We start from the raw sequence: 20,103 nt of genomic DNA, 5'->3' as shown, positions 1-20,103 counted from the left end.
CTCCTGTTATTGATTTCTAGTTTCATACAATTATAGTTGAAAAAGATGCTTGATATGATTTCATTCTTCTTACATTTGTTAAGACTTATTTTGTGGCCTAACGTGTGATATACACTGGAGAATGTTCTGTGTGTGCTTGAGAAGAATGTGTATTCTGTTGCTGTTGGATGGACTATCTGTACACGTCTGTTAGGTCCATTTGGTCTAAGTTCAAGTACAATGTGTCATTATTGGTTTTCTTTTTGGATTACCCATTCATTGTTGAAAATGGGGTATTGAAGCTCTGTACTATAATTATATTTCTATCTATTTCTTTTTTCAGGTCTATTAATATTTGCTTTATATATTTAGGAGTTTAATTTTTTTGTGATTTTTTGAGCATCTCAACAAATACTTTTGTACTTAATTTTATATTTATTACATTGTATACTTTTTAAGAAAAAGGGCTTTCAGCATTGTATACTTTCAGGCTTTATGAAAACCTTGCTCTTTCTTTGATAAGCCTATTATCAGAATAAAGCTTTCATAGGCTCAATATAGGATTAACTTCGCTATTAATTTTTAAATGACTTGTTGATAAATGATATGTTTCCCTAAAATTTTCTTCTGTTAGAATTTTCTGTAGACTTTCTAGAGAAAATCCAAGCCATTCTCTGTAAATAGGGCTTAAGTTTTAAAAAAGACAACATATTTTAATTACTATTCATGTTCAGAGCTAGGTTTTGTGCTGCAGAAGGCAAAGCTAGCATCTTGTCAGATTGGGTAGGCGAATGGGAGAATTCTTTTAAATAGAGCAACATAATTGACCTTTGGCAATATTAATTCAAAAATTTTAAATTATCCATTATACAATGCTATTTTTTGTCTAATTTTTCTTTTTTCCCTAACATTACCAGCTTTTCTATCATGAAACACAGCAATGTGATGCCAGTAGAAATAGTATGTAAATCATTCTATGATTTTTAGGGAATGATCTGTGGTTGAATACCTTTATGTTTTGGGAATAAATCTAATTTCAATTCCCTGAACTTGTTTAGCTATAAGCCACATATCGTGTTTGAATTTTAATTACTGAATCCCCATAGGCAGCCATCCAGGTTTGCTCACGAAGCAGGGTACTGTAGGTGTTTTCATTCTCCAGAATGTGATTATTACGCATTGCATATCTGTATCAAAACATCTTATGTACTCTATAAATATATAAACCTACCATGCACTCACAAAAACTAAAAATAAAAAAATTTAGGCCAGGCGCGGTGGCCCACGCCTGTAATCCCAGCTCTTTGGGAGGCCGAGATGTGCAGATCACTTGAGGTCAGGAGTTCGAGACCAGCCTGGCCAACATGCTGAAACCCTGTCTCTACTAAAAATACAAAAATTAGCCTGGCGCAGTGGCATGCACCTGTAATCCCAGCTACTCGGGAGGCTGAGGCAGGAGACTCGCTTGAACCAAGGAGGTGGAGGTTGCAGTGAGTCCAGATTGCACCACTGCACTCCAGCCTGGGCAATAAAGCAAGACTCTGCCTCAAAAAAAAATTATATATATATCTATATTTAAAAAAAATGCCTCTGCTGTAATTAGTCTACTGCTGGCTAGAACACTGGCATGGTTTTGAATTTTCCAAGTGTCTCATCTTGTTCTTGGATTCAGCCTTTGATTCCTAGCTGCTGATAGCAGGGAGCAAAGTTACCTCTGGGTTATGAAGTAAAATCTGGGAGAGCTCATGTGTAATACATATCTGTTTTGTGGCCTTCTAGAATGATTCCTATTATCTCTGTGCCTATTTCTGTTCCATATGCCCTCTTTGGTATTTGTTCTGTAAGTTCTCTACTAAGTGCCACTGTAAGAAATCTTAATGCAGGTGTCTGAGAATAATATATCAGGTCTTACATGATCCAAGATAGTTTTGATCAGCCTTATCCCTCCTTTAACTCATGCTTGAGAACTGACTCTCTGTTTAGAAAGGAATAACATTCCTTCTTTATCCTGGGGTGCATGATCATTGTAAAAGTGAAATAACTGATTTCATGTTGTCATCTGGCCCTTTATAATATCATCACATTTGTCAGACAATCTAGTTTCATTAGATCTAAGAGAAAAAAAATTTTAAATCTTACAATAAATTTTTTAATTCATTTTTCTGTGTTTACCTTATTAGTTTCAATGTTTAGTTTGAAATATGTTTCAGGCCAAAAAATTAAATTTGTTTGACAATTCAGTACAAGGATTAATCCAAATACTCCGTTTTAAAATCTCAATACTATTAATTCAAGTAGTCTTCTAGAAATGTGATGTTAGGTATAGTTTAGGAGGGGACTATGATTAAGATTACACTTTTAACCAGTTTCCCAAACACGGTAGCTGTAGTAGAGGAAAAAAAAAAGACTCTTTCTCATGAGTTCCATTGCACTTGTCTTTCATATTCCAAAAAAGAGAATCCTTGAAGCAGGTGAATACTAAGACATACTTTAATTTTGAGAATTTTGAGATAGACTCACTATCCATTTGTTATTTTATATATTAATGTATTTAACACATATTTATTGAATTTCAACTGTGTGTTGTGGAAATTCAGAGAGCAAGAGGACTGCATAACAGCTAACAACCTCAGAATATTTCTTGATATTATATACCTGCTTACAGAGTTATATGGGGTCTATAAGACAGAGTGCTTTGAAGTCCTGGCAATAATTTTTTTTTTTTTAGGAAGGGAAATAATTTGTTTAAAGGCATCTTCTCCCTGTATTGCATCACACGAGAGCTTTCTTAAGCCACTGTAAAGACATCATAAGCAAGAGCAAAACAAGTTAATGAGCTTTTTAGAATGTAAATTGGTGTCAAGAATGAAAATGAGGGCTTTGTGTTTTTCACCACCCACCAGAGCTGGGATATATAAAGAAGGTTCTGAGACTAGGAATCCATCCCACTGAGGAAACGCACTCTGTTGCTACCTAAGCCCTCCACTCCCGACACCATGCTCTGCGACAACTTCCCCGGGGCTGTCTTCCCAGGATGCTACTGGGGCAGCTATGGCTACCCGCTGGGATATAGCGTTGGCTGTGGCTATGGCAGCACCTACTCTCCAGTGGGCTATGGCTTCGGCTATGGCTACAACGGCTGTGGGGCTTTCGGCTACAGGAGATACTCGCCATTTGCTCTCTACTGATTGGCTGAAATCCCCGAGGTGTAGCATCTTCTCTCCCTTGAAGGCTGAGCCCCACATCTCCAGGTTCCCCCCGTATCCACTCCTTCAGTCCTCATTTGCTCATCAACCTCAGAGACACTGCTTTCCAACTTACCTCGAGTCCCAGGGGAGGAAAATGAAAAAGCAGACGCTTCCTCAAGCTGCCTCCCCTGGCTGATGTTCTCTGGGACATTTTCGGAAATTTGACCTCCCACTTGTCATGAGCTACTTTTGAATTTTCCATGACACTCATGACTTGTGATGAAGTCATGGATATGTCTATCAAAATCTCAATAAATTTGTCTCAGCTGGTATAATATTCTCATGCTAGAGCGAAGTTTCCTTTCTTGGTGTGTGCATATTTTCTGTTACATGGGTGGTGGGGGGGAAGTGAATTTATTTTTCTCATGTGGGCATTAGGAACAGCCAGAAAGCAAAGAATTACTGATCCTGTGTGATAAGCAGGTAAGAGGGTGGGTTGCAGGTAATGACTTAAAAGGTTGCCTGTTTGAACCTTCTTTAAATTTTATGATGCCCACCTCCAACCCAATGGAGCACCATTTATTGCTCGGGGTCCCCTTCTCATCTCACTACTTCTGCTCCTCCGCAAGAAAACCCAACACAGGAGGAACTTTTTCAGTCACTTCCATGTTAGTCCAAATGAAATCCACTGTGTTCCCTTTCCCAGGGACTAAGGATTATAGACTAAAGTGCCATGCCCCCTAATGAAGGATGCTGGAGCATTGAGTAATAGAGAAGCCACAGACATCCTTTGGAAATCTGAGAGTTTTTAAGGTGAAGGGATAAATCCCCTATATCAAACCATCTAAGGTGTCTATTTTGTAGCTTTGAAGCACCTGGGTTATTCACAACCATGACAAGTTTCTTAATCTTTATAGAATCAACACCAGATAGCGAGTTTCACTTAAAAGATATGAGCTGTAATGAATATTTCTGAAGATGTATCAGCTTTTCTCTGTGTTCCTTTAGGGAAGGGAGCAATTTCCTTTTATAAGCCAGATAAAAAAAGTCTCAATCCTTCTATTGAAAACATCTTATGTATAGTACAAATATTCTTGGTGGTAACAAAATTTGGCTTAACCCTGCTTTTTTATTGAATATGTGCAAGTGATTATATTGCATATGGTTCACTTCGTAGTTAAAAACATAAAGACTATTTGGCGAGGTCATTTCAGAAGAGAGTATTTTCTCCACCATACTTTATCTAATGTATATCTTTTTTAAAAAATCGGGAAATAATTGATTGTTTTCCTTTTTAGCGATAGTAGACAAGGTTACAGCCAACAAAATCTCCAGTTTGCAACTTTCTAGCAGCCATATGTTAATTCATGCTGAGAATTGTGAATTAATTAAACATGCAGGTTAAAATAGAACAGAAAAAGAAAAGTGGGATTTTTCAGAAATTAGAGCATCAGATCGAAACTAGAAGGTTATCAGTCTGTTCTGTAAAGATGACTGACTTATATAAAAATCTGGGCTTGAAGGGACCTCAGAGAGCACCTCCTCTAGTGTTTTGGAAATTTCAGTATGCAGGAGAATTACCTGAGTAGCTGACTTAAAAATTTAGATTCTTATGCCTTGCCCCTAGGGATTCTGACTCAGTACATCTGGGATCAGGTCTAGAAATCTAAACTTTTAAGATGCTCCTGATGACTTCTAGTACAGGTGGTCTGAGACCCACACTCTAAGAAGCACTGTTTCAGGTCATTACAGATGTACACTACCCACCCACCCACACCATTTATTTATGACACTGAGTCTTGATAAAGGAAAGTCTTTTACTCAAAAAGTGTCTAGCACATCTCAACAAGACAAGGACAGAGGAGAGAAGATACTTTACATCCCCAAAGGAGTACAGGAGGTACAACATCTGTGTTTAGCACTTTTCAACTTGAGTTAATGTGTGGTTGCTAGAAAGTTCCAAACTGAAGATTGCGTTGGCTGTAACAATGTCTACTATTTTTAGACAGAGAAAGGATCTATTAGGTAGATATCCAGTAGTCTGGTGCTGAAGGCTCAGATGCCATGACCTGCTAAAAGGAAAAAGTATGTTATGTAAGGATTTTATAAATTCACTTTCTCCTATTGCATAGAAGTGTACAAATTCCTAGTGTGCCTACATTACTTAATATTATTTAATGATTATTTTTAAAAACTGAAATTCAGTCTTTTTAAATGCGTATACCAAGATCCCACCCATGCACATTCTGATGGGAAGATCTATGGGGTCTGGGGATTTGTATTTAAAAAAATCCCTGTAAGTAATTTGGTTTTATGCCATCAATTTAAAACAATTACAGGGTCTGGTTTCATGGCTGTTCTTTTCTGTCTTTTTTAGTTCTCTCCTTTTATTTTGAATTTAAAAACCAAGATAATTCCTCCATATTTATATAGAATTCATAAAAAATGAAAACAGTAAGTAATATGTTACAGGTCAATTTAAGAAAAGCCTGGAATGAACACTTACTGCTACATTTAGGCTTAATGGTAGTCTGTATAGAGTGTAGTTAGGTATTTGTTTCTAATTGCTTTATCAACTTTGGTATTGATCTGAGCCCAGTTTAGTGCTCTGTACATAGTAGAAACTCAATATGTATGACAAGATTATCAGACCACTTTCCTCAATAAACACGAAAAAGATGTTAAACATCTGTTTGCTACCATCGTGCAGTGCCATTCTTTAATTCATAGCCATTTGTGAGCTGGAAGCTTGATGTCTGTGCATTTTATGACTTAGATTTATCTCACAAAGTCACACAGGAAGTATTGTTTTGATTTTCTATTTCACCATTAATTGCTTGTTTCTTCTCATTGAAAACCAGGCTGCATATCTTTAACATCTCCCTGCTTAATACAGTGTATATAACTGAGAACTTGATTTGAATATTAAGGGCATCTTATGTATAGAAGAATCTTCTAGAGAGACCCCCAGTAAGTCGAATTAAACCTCCTTTCCTTATCATTAGGCTTCCCAGTCCCTTGACTACTCTGAAGTAATAATTCACCAGTGGTAACTGAATATATATATATGTTAATTTGTATTTGCCCATTTGATTCACAGGGGAGGTTTAGAGTCCTACAGAATTTTTCATGGCTAAGTAGGATAGATAACATGTTATGTGATACCCTATTTAACATTCCTCATGTACTCTCTAAAGGCGGTTTTGAAGGGATCTGACATCTGCCCTCTGTTGCAAGGTTGGCAGAGAAACATTCTCCACGTGGCATCCTTCATGTGACCAGTGTATCTGATGACACTATCCAACAAAGGTGTTGACCATAACATTATGACATCCAAAAATGTGAAGATAGCAGAGATGTAGTGAATCTGATAAAAGCAGGGAGTCCTGTACTATATTCACATTATTCTTGCATATAAGAAATGACCAAATAATTTGCCCTTCCTCCTGTTTTTTCTTTTCCTGCACTGTCTTCCCTTCTGCTTCTGTATCTTTCTTCAAGATTATATTCTCTTCCCTTAGATCTTGTTATAGTAGGATCAGTTCCCAAGCGGATTTGAGAGCAGTTTCTCACCGAGAAGTCAGAACAAAAGAGGAGCCTTCCTAGCACAGGGTAATCTCATAGTCGTAGGAAGTCAGTTGACAAAAGAAGTCAACCTTTCCCAAATATTCATACTGGCCCTTCTTTCCAGAGCCCCCCCAAAAGCTTTCAACCACAGTGGATACCTCAGGAAGATTATCAAATGCCTTATAAATCAGAGCTCTTCTCAGTAAAGATAGAAAAGGACGCAAACATAAAACACTGAAGAATAAATACATGATGCTGGTATTTAGTAAATTTTACCCAAAGTGTAGGTCTTTTCTCATGCAGAAAAGCCTTTTCTTGCTCTTTTGTCAATAACTTTAGACACAGTAGGCAAAGCAGAAACTAAAAATGCTTCATACGCATATGGGTGATTTTTGGTTTCCCATAATTTTCCTTAAGACGAATGTTGGCCTTTCTCAGAGCCATCCAAAGTGTATAGCTTTTGCCCAGTGCACAGGTTCAACCCACAGATTTCTGATGGCACATGTGCAAGAAAATCATACTTAAAAACCAACCAGCCAACCAACTCACTCCTCTTTGTATACATCTTTAGAACAGCATAATTAATTTTGAGCTAAATGCTTGGTAAGCACATATTTTTATCTTATTAATTTCTTATGATGCAGATTATCTTCTCAATTTGGTTTATTTAAGATTTTAGGCCATCATTTCAAGTGTAGTCCAGTATAATTTTTCAGTCATTTCAAAGGCAAACATAATTAGGGAAAAGGCAAAAATAACCAATATTATTTCTGGGCCTGCAGTGGGTCATCATTACTCTTTACAACCCCATGAGGTTGGTTTTATTCCAGGTTCTATTATCCCCATTTTACACTTGAGGAAACTGGAATTCAGAAATTTCAAATGACGTGTTCATAGTCTCAAAGCTAGAATATGGCAGAATGGGGTTTCTAATCTGGGTGTGTTGGATGCTGAAGCCTTGCCACCTGCCTCTCTGCTAACCAGAATCCACTCCAGTGGCATCCTATAGAACTGAAAACACACACTCCATAAAGGGACCTGCTTTGTCGTGTTCCCAAAATAAGGCACAACATTGAACTCATACTATCTCCTCAATAAAACTATCATGAATGAAACAAAGAGGCTGCTATGTTTTTCAAATTAAGATCTTTAATCTTGGCAATGAGAGCCATGGAAATCATTTGTTTAAACCATGAACACAGCACTATTTGCCTGGGATTTTTTGTGATATCCAAGAGAGAGCCCATGAATGTGTAGACTATGAGTCCAGAAATGACTTCCCAAGATGTCAGGATAGGCTATAGATGCCATTAGGTCAGGATCCACTGAGAGTCTGAAGCAATAACATCATGCGGAAATTTTGTTTTCCCCAGCTCTCTTAGTGACATTCATTTCACTGTGTCCCTTAGATTTTAGAGATATCAAATAGAGAGTATTTGTAAGTACATTTTTTTCATAAATGTCAAAAATGACTTTATGCCTTGCCTTAGAATGATGGGATGAGTAAGCTCTTCAAAGTTGCACAGCCCAGAGATAGAAAGCCAGTGAAAAAAGAAGTAGAAAAGAGGCACGCTATAGGGCTCGTCCCAGATCTTAGTGCTTCCTCGTCAGCTGTCAAATTTTGCTTTTGTAGCTTATAAGTACTATGCCACACTCTCACTGGTTCTAACATCAGAACTTAAAGTATAATTCATCTGTGACATTTTATATATACGCAAACGACTACTATTATTCCTGCCTCACTGCATCCACTAAAGCTTTTCTAACTACGGCGTTTAGCTGCATAGACTTACGTTGACTGTAGGCTTTTCTGCTTTGCCTTTGTTTCTAATATGAAAGGTTTGTTAGGTCTACAAACTCTTTAATATCTCTACTTCAAATCCTGGTATGGGGCTTTATGAAGCATGAGGACGTTTAGTAAATTCCTGCAGACCAAAAGCACAGTTTGCTATTGCAATTGGCATTATTTTTTGTTCTTGAGACATCTAATAATTGGAGGATTCAACTTGGAGTCTATTTTAACCAAAGACTTTGAAGACACTGCAGTAACTTCTCATTACAGGAAAAAAAAAAACCCACAAAGAAGAATCCTTCTTCAGCTTTGGCAGTTAATTCAGCTCAAACTTCTTTCAAGAATAATGAGGATCTCTTTTTTTTTTTTTTTTTCAAGGAGATCTAGGAAATTAATGAGAATACTAATTCCCTTGATCTAAAAAAGGAAAGAGGTGCATTTCTTCATCACAGCCTCTGGTGAGGTTATATGAGTCACGAAGGTAAAAGGATCCTATTATGTGCTATAACTATTGAGTTTGCTGCCTGATCAAACCTTTATTCCTTGGACAATGTGATAGAACTTCTTCCCTAAGAACTTCTACCAAAATGGCTGCTGGGAAGTTATGGGTATTCCCTGGGCCACAGTGATGCCTGTGGCGATGGCAGCACCTTTTTACCTGCCGTCCTCCGCCTGTTATAGCTGCAGAGGACACCAGCTACTTGGCTATAAAAGAGACCGGCAACAGGAGTTTATTGATTAATCTGCTTATCGAATACTTTATCACTTCTGGGGCATTTTTTTTTTTTCAGTCTGATTCTACTTTTCTTTGAGTTCCAAGGTGCTCCTTGAGCAAATCCAGCCTCTGCTTACAGTGGATCAGGTTCACTTCAAGATGTGTTACTTCAGCCTGTGTCTGAACTTTTCCAGGAGTTCCTCATTTAGGCTTGTGATGTTTTTTTGAAATATGAGAATGCTTCTGTTTAAAAAAAAAAAACTTACCTGAATTAACATAGGATGGGACATGTGGTTTGAATATGTTTTCTTGTGTAAATATGTTTACAGTGGTCGTATTTTCACTTATATTTTACAATAAAAATAATATTTTAAATTTAGTAAAATGAATACTGACTTTAAAATATTACCAAAAGATGTTAACCTTGGGTTATCTGAAAGGAGAAATTGATGATGTCCAGGTAAGTTTAATTTATATATTAGTATCCAAAGCCCAATAATAAAATCAAACCAATCTACCTTGGATCTTAAATAATAAGTACAGAATGACTGTATATACTGAAGTATAATTGCATACGTGTTTAATTTGAAATTCAATTAAAAAGTTAATTGAATATTCACAAAAACATATGTGACTATGCACATATATTTTTATATCTTGCTATTCTCTTTAATTTTATCTCATCTCTAGAACCATGTTTTCCAATGTGTGGTGCCTGAATCAGCATTGAGATCAGCATTAACCGGGAACATTTTCAGAAAGCAAATTTTCAAGCTGCCTTCTTTCCTCCTCACCCATCGAGACCTGTGAAGTCAGCGATATGTGTTTTGCGAACACATAAATCTCCTTCTAGGAGATTCGGTATGTGATATACCTGTAAAACACTGCTTAGACTATTAAACATATTGATCCATCAAACAAATATGGAATAGTTTCATGAACCACTTTTATGAGTTAGATTTGGGATGGATGAAAGAAAACAATGATTTTAACATGCATTTATATTGTATTTTATGATTTCACTGTTTCTTATTAGAGCTTCAGAAAATCTCAGGAATTAGATGGGGTGGTTACATCTTCTGTACAACTTTGCAGTTGAGGCACAGAATGTGGTGTTAGTATCAAAAGTTAGACAAACAATATGTAGATTTCAGACCACAGTTCAAATCTGATTTTACTACTGTGGTCCTTCCATTGTATTACCTAGTAACCAAATTACACTCTAATAAGTGATAAAACCAGAAATGTAAGCAAGTCTATGCAAGGTTGGGTTATATTCTTGAACGTCTTATACACTTCATTGAAGAAAATAAAAAAAAACCACATTAGTAAATTTTTCACTTTTAAGGTCAACACTTTGCTCTTCTACCTAGTGTTAGATACAGCCTAATGTTAGATACAATAAGATTCTTTTTATGATTCAAATCCCTGTACTACAGTGAATTTAAGTATGATAAATAATCAATACAGGGTTAAATGAAAATCTGAATATAGTCTTTTCATTAACTCTTCCAAAATATACAACAAGCTCCATGTTATCTTCTGCTATACTTTTCTGAACAATTGGGTATTTTAAAGTATTGGGTGGCTGGGTGCTGTGGCTCATGCCTGTAATCCCAGCACCTTGGGAGGCTGAGGCAGGTGAATCACGAGGTCAGGAGCTCGAGACCATCCTTGCTAACACGGTGAAACCCTGACTCTACTAAAAATACAAAAAATTAGCCGGGTGTGGTGGGACACACCTGTAGTCCCAGCTACTCGGGAGGCTGAGGAAGGAGAATCACTTGAACCTGGCAGGCGGAGGTTGTAGTGAGCCGGGATCACACCACGGCACTCCAGCCTGGGCGACAGAGTGAGACTCCATCTCAAAAAAAAAAAAAAAAATTAGGTAACATTTTGAATAATTGTGTGTGTGTGTGTGTGTGTGTGTGTGTGTGTGTGTGCTTCATTGTACATTAAGTTCTAGGGTATATGTGTACAACCTGTAGGTTTGTCACATAAGTATACATGCGCCATGTTGGTTTGCTGCACCTATTAACTCATCATTTATATTAGGTATATCTCCTAATGCTATCCATCCCCCTGCCCCCCACTCCCTGACAGGTCCTGGTGTGTGATGTTCCCCTCCCTGTGTCCAAGTGTTCTCATTGTTCAATTCCCACCTATGAGTGAGAACATGCAGTGTTTGGTTTTCTGTCCTTGCAATAGTTTGCTCAGAATGATGGTTTCCAGCTTCCTCCATGTCCCTACAAAGGACATGAATTCATCCTTTTTTATGGCTGCATAGTATTCCATGGTGTATATGTGCCACATTTTCTTAATCCCGTCTATCATTGATGGACATTTGTGTTGGTTCCAAGTCTTTGCTATTTTGAATAGTGCCGCAATAAACATACATGTGCATGTGTCTTTATAGCAGCATGATTTATAATCCTTTGGGTATATACCCAGTAATGGGATGGCTGGGTCAAATGGTATTTCTAGTTCTAGATCCTTGAGGAATCGCCACACTGTTTTCCACAATGGTTGAACTAGTTTACAGTCCCACCAACAGTGCAAAAATGTTCCTATTCTCCACATCCTCTCCAGCACCTGTTGATTCCTGACTTTTTAATGATCGCCATTCTAACTGGTGTGAGATGGTATCTCATTGTGGTTTTGATTTGCATTTCTCTGATGGCCAGTGATGATGAGCATTTTTTCATGTGTCTGTTGGCTGCATAAATGTTTTCTTTTGAGAAGTGTCTGTTCATATCCTTTTCCCACTTTTTGATGGGGTTGTTTTTTTTCTTGTAAATTTTTTTTAAGTTCTTTGTAGATTCTGGATATTAGCCCTTTGTCAGATGGGTAGATTGCAAAGATTTTCTCCCATTCTATAAGTTGCCTGTTCACTCTGGTGATAGTTTCTTTTGCTGTGCAGAAGCTCTTTAGTTTAATTAGATCCCATTTGTTAATTTTGGCTTTTGTTGCCATTGCTTTTGGTGTTATAGTCGTGAAGTCTTTGCCCATGCCTATGTACTGAGTGGTATTGCCTAGGTTTTCTTCTAAGGTTTTTATGGGGTTAGGTCTTACATGTAAGTCTTTAATCCATCTTGAGTTAATTTTTGTATTTTGTATTAAATTTTGACTTTGATGCTGGGAGTTTTTTTTCCTATTTGTGTCATTTCACTGGGCCTTTTCCCAATAATATTGATCATATCTTAGGGAACAGTTAAAGTAGTGAAAATTAGTTGGCTTAATGTTTAATATAAGTAAGATGTAGAATGTGTTCACAGATTCTTTAAGTTTCTGTTGAAAGGCTAATGTGCATATTTCTGATGTGCTTTTCTCTTTCTGGTTATAGGACTGTAGTTAGTCAGATATAGGATGGAAACTGGAAGAGTAAGAGATTCCTCCACAAAGTCATGTTTCTTGAGAGTTGATTACTGAAGGAAACTACACTTACATTTTATCTGATGTGGCTGATTCTGTGAAACACTCCACTATTCTTATTACTTATTTTCCCATACCTGGTAGACCTTAACATCAATGTTATTTAATAAAGTTAGAGCCTAAACATGGTTCATAATTCCATGACAAAAGAGGAACATTGAAGAAACTGAAAATTAATTAAAAAGTTAGTGAAAGTAGTGTAGTGTAAGCCCAGCACTTTGGGAGGCCGAGGCAGGTGGATCACGAGGTCAGGAGATTGAGACCATCCTGGCTACCACAATGAAACCCTATCTCTACTAAAAATACAAAAAAATTAGCCAGGCATGGTGGTGGGCACCTGTAGTCCCAGCTACTTGGGAGGCTGAGGCAGGAGAATGGTGTGAACCCGGGAGGCAGAGCTTGCAGTGAGCCGAGATTGCTCCACTGCACTCCAGCCTGGGTGACAGAGCAAGACTCCGTCTCAAAAAAAAAAAAAAAGTTAGTGAAAGTAGTGGCTATTCTTGAAAATGTATTAAATACTCTTAAGTATAAAATATATTTTCTTATAATTGATAAAAATATAAAACAATCACCAAACAAAAAATAAATTACAGTTAAATTGTGGAATAAATTCTCAGTAAGAAAGAAATACTTGTGGATGACATAGAATATGATTAACAGAAGATTTGCATTAGTTTTGAAAGCAGCCGTAGTTTGCTCAATCACATATCAAAATTTCTTAGGAGAAAAATCTGCATATATTTAACCTCATAGTTTAGATAGTATTAATAATCCCTTTTGTGTGCCTCCAAATTGTCTGTAATCTCACAAGCAATGTTAGGCAATATAGTAAGAATGTTTCTAGTTGTTTAGAAGCCTGATTTTTGATGGATAAACTGGGAATCTGCTTTTACCAAAGACTTTGGTAGCATTTCTGTAGCTTCTCATTGTAGGGACTAAACTCATTAAAAGGACACTAGGCAGTCAGTCAACCTCAAACAATTTTAAGAGCAATGCGGATGCCACACCCTTTACTGGGGGTGTATGAAAAACTTCGGGCAGATGGAGTAAGTCATTCTTAGTAGTCTTTGTACTAAACACCCAACTAACAAGAAGTCCTTTGGCCTCTTCAATGATACATCTCCCCTGGCTCCTACTAGGGCAGTTGTGGTTCTCCCCTGAGATGGTGTTGGCTGTGGATGTGTTAGCACCTGTTCACCAGGGGGTGGGGACTTTGGATATGGCTATGCTGGCTTCTGGCCACTTGATGACAGAAGATATTGGACACTAGACCTCTATTAAGTTCTGACAAAGGGAACTGTATTATAATCAGTGTCCTAAGGAATCAAACTTGAAGAGATGTTTTATTGACAGCCTTCCAGGTGATAAAATGTGAATTTTAGATTCTCTCTGTATTGAACTGTGCAAAGTAGACTGATAATGAACTTTGTGGGCTGAACTTTAATAGAAGTTTTAGTTTTTCCCGATAGAATACTGTACTGTATTTTACATTCCCCCAGTGGATTTGATTTCCCCCTAACTTTAGGTGAATTTTATTTTACCGACTTCCATATTATAATAAATATGCTTAACTCAGCCATATAAATGTGATTTTCACTTTTTTTCTTTCCTCTTGATTCATTCTTTAAGGATATATTTTCCTACTGCAGTTTGCAGGAAGTTAATGGTTTGCTATTCTAAGCATTCCATCCACTAAATGGATGTTGTAAGGAAGAAGTAAATAGGCCATGGTGAATTTGCATGATGCTCTTCTTTCATTCTTCTTATTCATATTATACTCTTGAGTAAGAAATCTGGGGGTTAAAATTAGACCTAACTGCTTGGATCTCCAACATGTTATGCAACTCAATAAAGTTTTAGCTTTTGAAGAATACTTTTTGGTTTCCTGTTGTCTTTATTCTGGTTCAATGTTTATAATGCCAAATAGAAGAATCAATGCACAGAAGCTATGTTAAAATTTATAATCCTCCTCACACTGCCATTTATGACAACTTGAATGAACCTGGAAGGCATTTATGCTAAGTGAAATAAGCCAGACAAAGGAAGAAAAATATTGCATGATCTCATGGAGAAACAGAGAGTGGTTACCAGGGGAATAGAAGGGAAAGAAATGGGGAGATATAGGTCAAAAGATGCAAATTTCTAGTTATGTATGATAGATAATCCTAGAGAACTAATGTACAACCTGTGAACTATAGTTCATAAGATTGTATTATACACTGAACATTTGCTAATAGAGTAGATTTTTGATGCTTTACCACATACAAATATATACACACACAAACGTTACTATGTAAGATGATGGATATATTAAGTGGTTTGACTGTGGTAATCATTTCACTGTCTACATGTATATCAAAACATCATCATGTACACCTTAAACTTAGACAACAAAAAATTTAAAAATGCCAGATACAGTAGCTTATGTCTATAATCCCAGTGCTTTGGGAAGCTGGGGAGGGAGGATCCCTTGAGCTTGGAAATTTGAGACCTGCTTGAGCCACATAGTGAGAACCTGTCTCTACAAAAAGTTAAAAAATTGGCTGAATGTGGTGGAGGGTGCCTGTAGTCCCAGATACTCAGGAGGCTGAGGTAGAAGAATCGCTTGAGCCCAGGGGGTCAAGGTTGCAGTGAGCCATGACTGCACCACTGCACCCCAGCCTAAGCAACAGAGTGAGACCCTAGCTCAAAAATAAATAAATAAATAAATAAATAAATAAATAAATAAATAAATAAAGGCTTCTATGTCTATCATATTCTGGTTTTGGTGTATTTTATGTTTATGTGGCTTATTTCTTGAGTGTTCTGTATGACTTTAGTGGTGAAACCATTAATAACAAAAGGAGAAAGTTGTGAGTTAAAAGAAATCTCAGTGATACCAGGGTGGTATTTGCCTCACACACAAAGCTGAGAAAAATGTATTCTCTTGAGTATTCTCAATTTGCTGCATGAAGGAAGACAAAAATACATTTTAAATTATTTTAAATAGAAAAGGTCAAGAAAGGTGAATTTCATTATGGCAAATCACACTTCACACTTCACATTTGGCTTATTCCTGAATCAGCAAACTTGACACCTTAAAAATAGATATGGAAGACAAATGGCAGAGGAATTCACTTCTTCAGGTAGTCAAACCCTGGAAGCGCTGTAGTCCCCAGAATAACACTTATATTCCCCATCTCCCTAACTTTGTGCTCTCACAGCCTCTCATCCAATTAGCTGTTCTTGTGAAATAATCTTCTTTTTAGAAATTATCATCATTATCATCATCATTAAATATCATCTTAACACTGCCAGAATTAACATAATAATACGTTTCTAATGTCTAGTTTTTATAATTTATTTCGATGCCAGCCTATTGGGCAATATCAAAGCAAAATCTATTACAAGACATTTGTGGACGTAGTAAAACAATGTAATGTAGATATAAAGCTCTCTGAAAAATGTAACTTTATCCAAGAATATGATCTAGAACATCTAAATAAATGAAGAATTTTTATATCTTTGTGAAAATTCTGTATAAAATAAGATTTAAATTAAAAAATCAACACAGTGAAGTTGTATAGTTTAATATGTTTTTAAGTATATCTGTGTAACTACCATAACAATCAGAATGTAGAACAATTCTATCATCACCCTCCCCATCCCCCGCCAGAAAAAAAAACAAACAAACTCTGTCGTCCTATTCCATTTTAGTAATACTTTCTTCCCTAACTCTGAAAAGTGATTGATCTGTTCTCGATCACTATAGTTTTTGTCTTTTTGACAAGGTGATATAAGTACAATGATACAGTATATAATGCTTTGAAATAGATTTCTCTGGGTTTGTCCTATATAGGGTTTGCAAACCTTCTTGAATCTGTCTCTGCAAATAGGGTAAGAGCAGAACTTCTTCCAGAATCTGGAGTAGGGATAAACTTCTAGAATGATTAGTCTGTAATTGAAAGAGAAGTGTGGGGATAGAGAATCTAGCAGCTTCTGAAAGTAGCTTATCAATTTGGCACATATGTAAAAATATGTGAAGTTTATTTTATAATAACCTGGATTCTGTGTTTCTCAAATTTGAGCATGTGTAAGAATTCTAGCCACGCTTTTAAAGAATAAACACTCCAGAGTTCTCCCTCCATAGGTTCTGGTTCAGTAGTCTGGGGGGTGCAGCCTATTTATCTGCATTTTTAATTACTATAGTACAAGATGATTCCAAAATGAGTGATGTTTGAATTACCTTTTGAGATTCATTGATCTAGACAAAGAAATAGACATGCTCATCACACAGTTGCCTTTTTTATTCTTTTTTTTTTTTTTTTTTTTGAGGCAGGCTTGCTCTCTCACCCAGGCTGAAGTGCAGTGGTACGATCATAGCTCACTGCATCCTCTAACTCCTGGGCTCAGGCAATCCTCCTCACTCAGTCTCCAGAGAAGCTGGGACTGCAGGTGCACACCACCACCCCTGGATATATTTTTATTTTTTTTATTTTTTGTAGAGGCTGTCTTGTTGTATAGCCCTGGCTGGTCTCAAACTCCTGGCCTCAAGTGATCCTCCCACCTTGGCCTCCCAAAATGCTGAGATTATTGGCATGAACCACTGCACCTGACCACATTTTTCCAGTGTTGTGAGACCAAGTGGTATTCCCAAACCTTGAAGGTTAGAAATAGATTTTGAAGGCTACCTAAACAAGGCAATCAGCAAAAGTGAAAGTTGGCATGAGAGGAACAAGTAAGAGGCAGGGCCCGGTAAAGAATGGAGAAACACTGGCTTGGGGAAATATTTCAGAAACCAAACCATTGCACACTAGGGATGAATCAGCAACATGATGTATAATTTTAAAAAAACCCTGGTACATATGGGAGTTAATACAAGTAGGACATATGGGAGGTGATAATTCTTCCACTGTATAGCATCATTCAAACTCTTATGAGAATATTGATTCTATTTTATCATCTGAATTTTATTAAGAATATAGAAAATTAAGGAATATTCTAGAGAAAAACATTAGAAACTATTTAAAAAAAGAAATTTAGCTCCATAAGAAAAGATTACAGGAATTTGGACTCTGAGTTACTTTGGTAGAAAAATAAAAACATTCATTGTTTTTTTCTATCCATAATTGCTCATTGCAAACAGTATGGAAAACAAAGTTAGAAAAAACATACACATTATTCACTACTTAGGAGTAACTAGTATTATTTCTTTAGTAAAATAATAATTATAAAATATAGAAAAACTAATTTTTGTATTCTTTGTAATGTGATTATTTTGAATACTCCCCTATGTAATTATATATTATTTCAAAATGACTGCACCATATTATTCTGTATAAATGCAGCATGTTTTATTAATATTAACTCAATTTTTATATATTTAGGATGCTTTCAATTCTTTATCATTTAAAGTAATATTTTAATGAACATTTACTAAGTAATCAGTAACCCCATCTTTGATTATTTGCTTATTTTAGACTCCAGTTAGAGCCAGGATACTAAATCAAATGTCAGAAGTATTTTTAAGGTTCGGAACACATGTTATTCTTCAATGCTAGGCCATTGCAATTAAAATAACCTTCTTCTTTCATACCATGTCCTAATGGATTCTGAAGATACCTTTCCGAGGCCCCGTCTTCATTACCCTGTTTTATAGCATTTATTTCTAGTTAAAATTATCTTCAAAAAGTATTAATTAACATTAAAAATAATAAAAGTATTAAATGGATGATTCAAAAGTAACTTCTACAAAAAAGCAGACAACAAAAATAGAGGCTTCTTACCTTTGATTTATTCTGTGCAGTAGTAACCCACCTTCAAGTATTTTAGACTTTTTCCATACTTAATCATTTGTCCATAATAGTCTTATTCTGTACTTTTTGTTTCCTCAATTTTGCACATAATTTACTAACTTCCTATTTTGTGAAATGAGGATTTTAAAAAACATACGCTTCACCCAAGACACATGCAGTTTCCCTCTCACAATCTCCCATATGGTAATATCACAGTAGTCTTTACTGTGTATATACTGTAGTATTGGTATAGTTTGAGACCAGCCAGGGCTATATAACAAGTATTCACATACTTACCCCAAATCCTTGGTGCATTGGTATAGCATTTCCTTTCCATGAATTAATAACTGCCTAAGTTTTCCACCAAGAAACCATCTTTAAATTCATTGACAGAATTGTAAAATTCTCACTGTAGGATTATACACATTGGAAAATCCACTGGTTCCATCTCTGCGCTAGAAATATTCTTTTTGGAGCTCACTGTCCTTTTGTGCCCTGTCCAATCAGGTTTGCTGCCCTTTAGGCTGGCTGCATAGCATAGATCCTCTTTGTTTATTTATTTATTTGTTTATTTGAGCCAGGATCTCTCTCTGTCGCCCAGGCTGGAGTGCAGTGACGCGATCTCAGCTCACTGTAGCCTCTGCCTCCTGGATTCAAGCAATTCTCCTGCCTCAGCCTCCTGAGTAGCTGGGATCACAGGTGCCCACCACCACGCCTGGCTAATTTTTGTAATTTTAGTAGAGACGGGTTTCAGCCATGTTGATCAGGCTGGTCTAGAACTTCTGACCTTAAGTAATCCACCCGCCTTGGCCTCCCAAAGTGCTGAGATTACAGGCGTGAGCCACTGCGCCCTGCCTCAAATCCTCTTTGCCACTCCATTTAATATCATCCGCTGCCTGAATTTGTGTTTGTATTTGTTAATTTCTGGTGGAGCACATCCTATAGCATTTGTCTGAACTAGTAACTCTTCAGGTAAACTTTCTGAGATCCCGCATGTCTAAAAATATTTTTATTTTAACCTGACAGTTTATAGACTGACTGGATTTCTAGGTTAGAAATAATTTTCTTTCATTTTATTGAAAAACTTGCCCCCTTTTTTTTTCTGGCTTTCATTTTTGCTTTTGAGATATCTAATACCATTTTGATCTCTAGGTCTTTGTGTCCATAGTTTCTCCCCTACACTCTAGCAGAAACTTTTACTATTCTTATTATATAGGAACTGGCTTAGAAATAAATTTTCAGATAAATTTTACCACTCAATAGACCATTAAGGATATAGATTTCCATGAATAATATATAGATTTTCCTGTAGAATATCACATTTATGAATATATTTGTGTTTTGTTTTAAAAACTAATACATATTCTGAAAATCTATTTTTTAAAATTCTGTTTCTCCTAAGATTCTTGCCACTCTTCATGACCCATATCACAGCTCAACTGAAGGAAAAAAATAAAAACACTGCAATTGCCAGCAGGGTGAGAAGAAAAGGTAATCAAATGGTAGTGACCTTTCCTCTAAATTGACTGGCTGGTTGAGCTAAACATTGTTTTGTCCATCAGTAAAATGGTGACACCAACCCTTTGGGTAACATGACATACAGGTTAAACACTGCCACATGGGAAGTGAGCGGCAATAAATATTTTTCACTAATGG

At 36.5% G+C, this 20,103-nt stretch overlaps 1 protein-coding gene and 2 pseudogenes across 1 annotated transcript; all 3 read left to right on the top strand.

Annotated features, from left to right (window-relative positions):
• Positions 1-2,921: 2,921 nt before the first annotated feature.
• KRTAP8-1 (keratin associated protein 8-1) lies at positions 2,922-3,499 on the top strand. The gene has a single exon (NM_175857.4). The coding sequence runs from the start codon at positions 2,976-2,978 to the stop codon at positions 3,165-3,167; it is 192 nt and encodes a 63-aa protein (NP_787053.1). The 5' UTR covers positions 2,922-2,975; the 3' UTR covers positions 3,168-3,499.
• Positions 9,096-9,206, top strand: KRTAP8-3P (keratin associated protein 8-3, pseudogene; annotated as a pseudogene).
• Positions 13,831-13,953, top strand: KRTAP8-2P (keratin associated protein 8-2, pseudogene; annotated as a pseudogene).

This window comes from Homo sapiens, chromosome 21, assembly GCF_000001405.40.
Source record: "Homo sapiens chromosome 21, GRCh38.p14 Primary Assembly".
In the NCBI taxonomy this organism is placed as follows: domain Eukaryota; kingdom Metazoa; phylum Chordata; class Mammalia; order Primates; family Hominidae; genus Homo; species Homo sapiens.
This window is presented reverse-complemented; position numbering and strand designations above follow the sequence as displayed.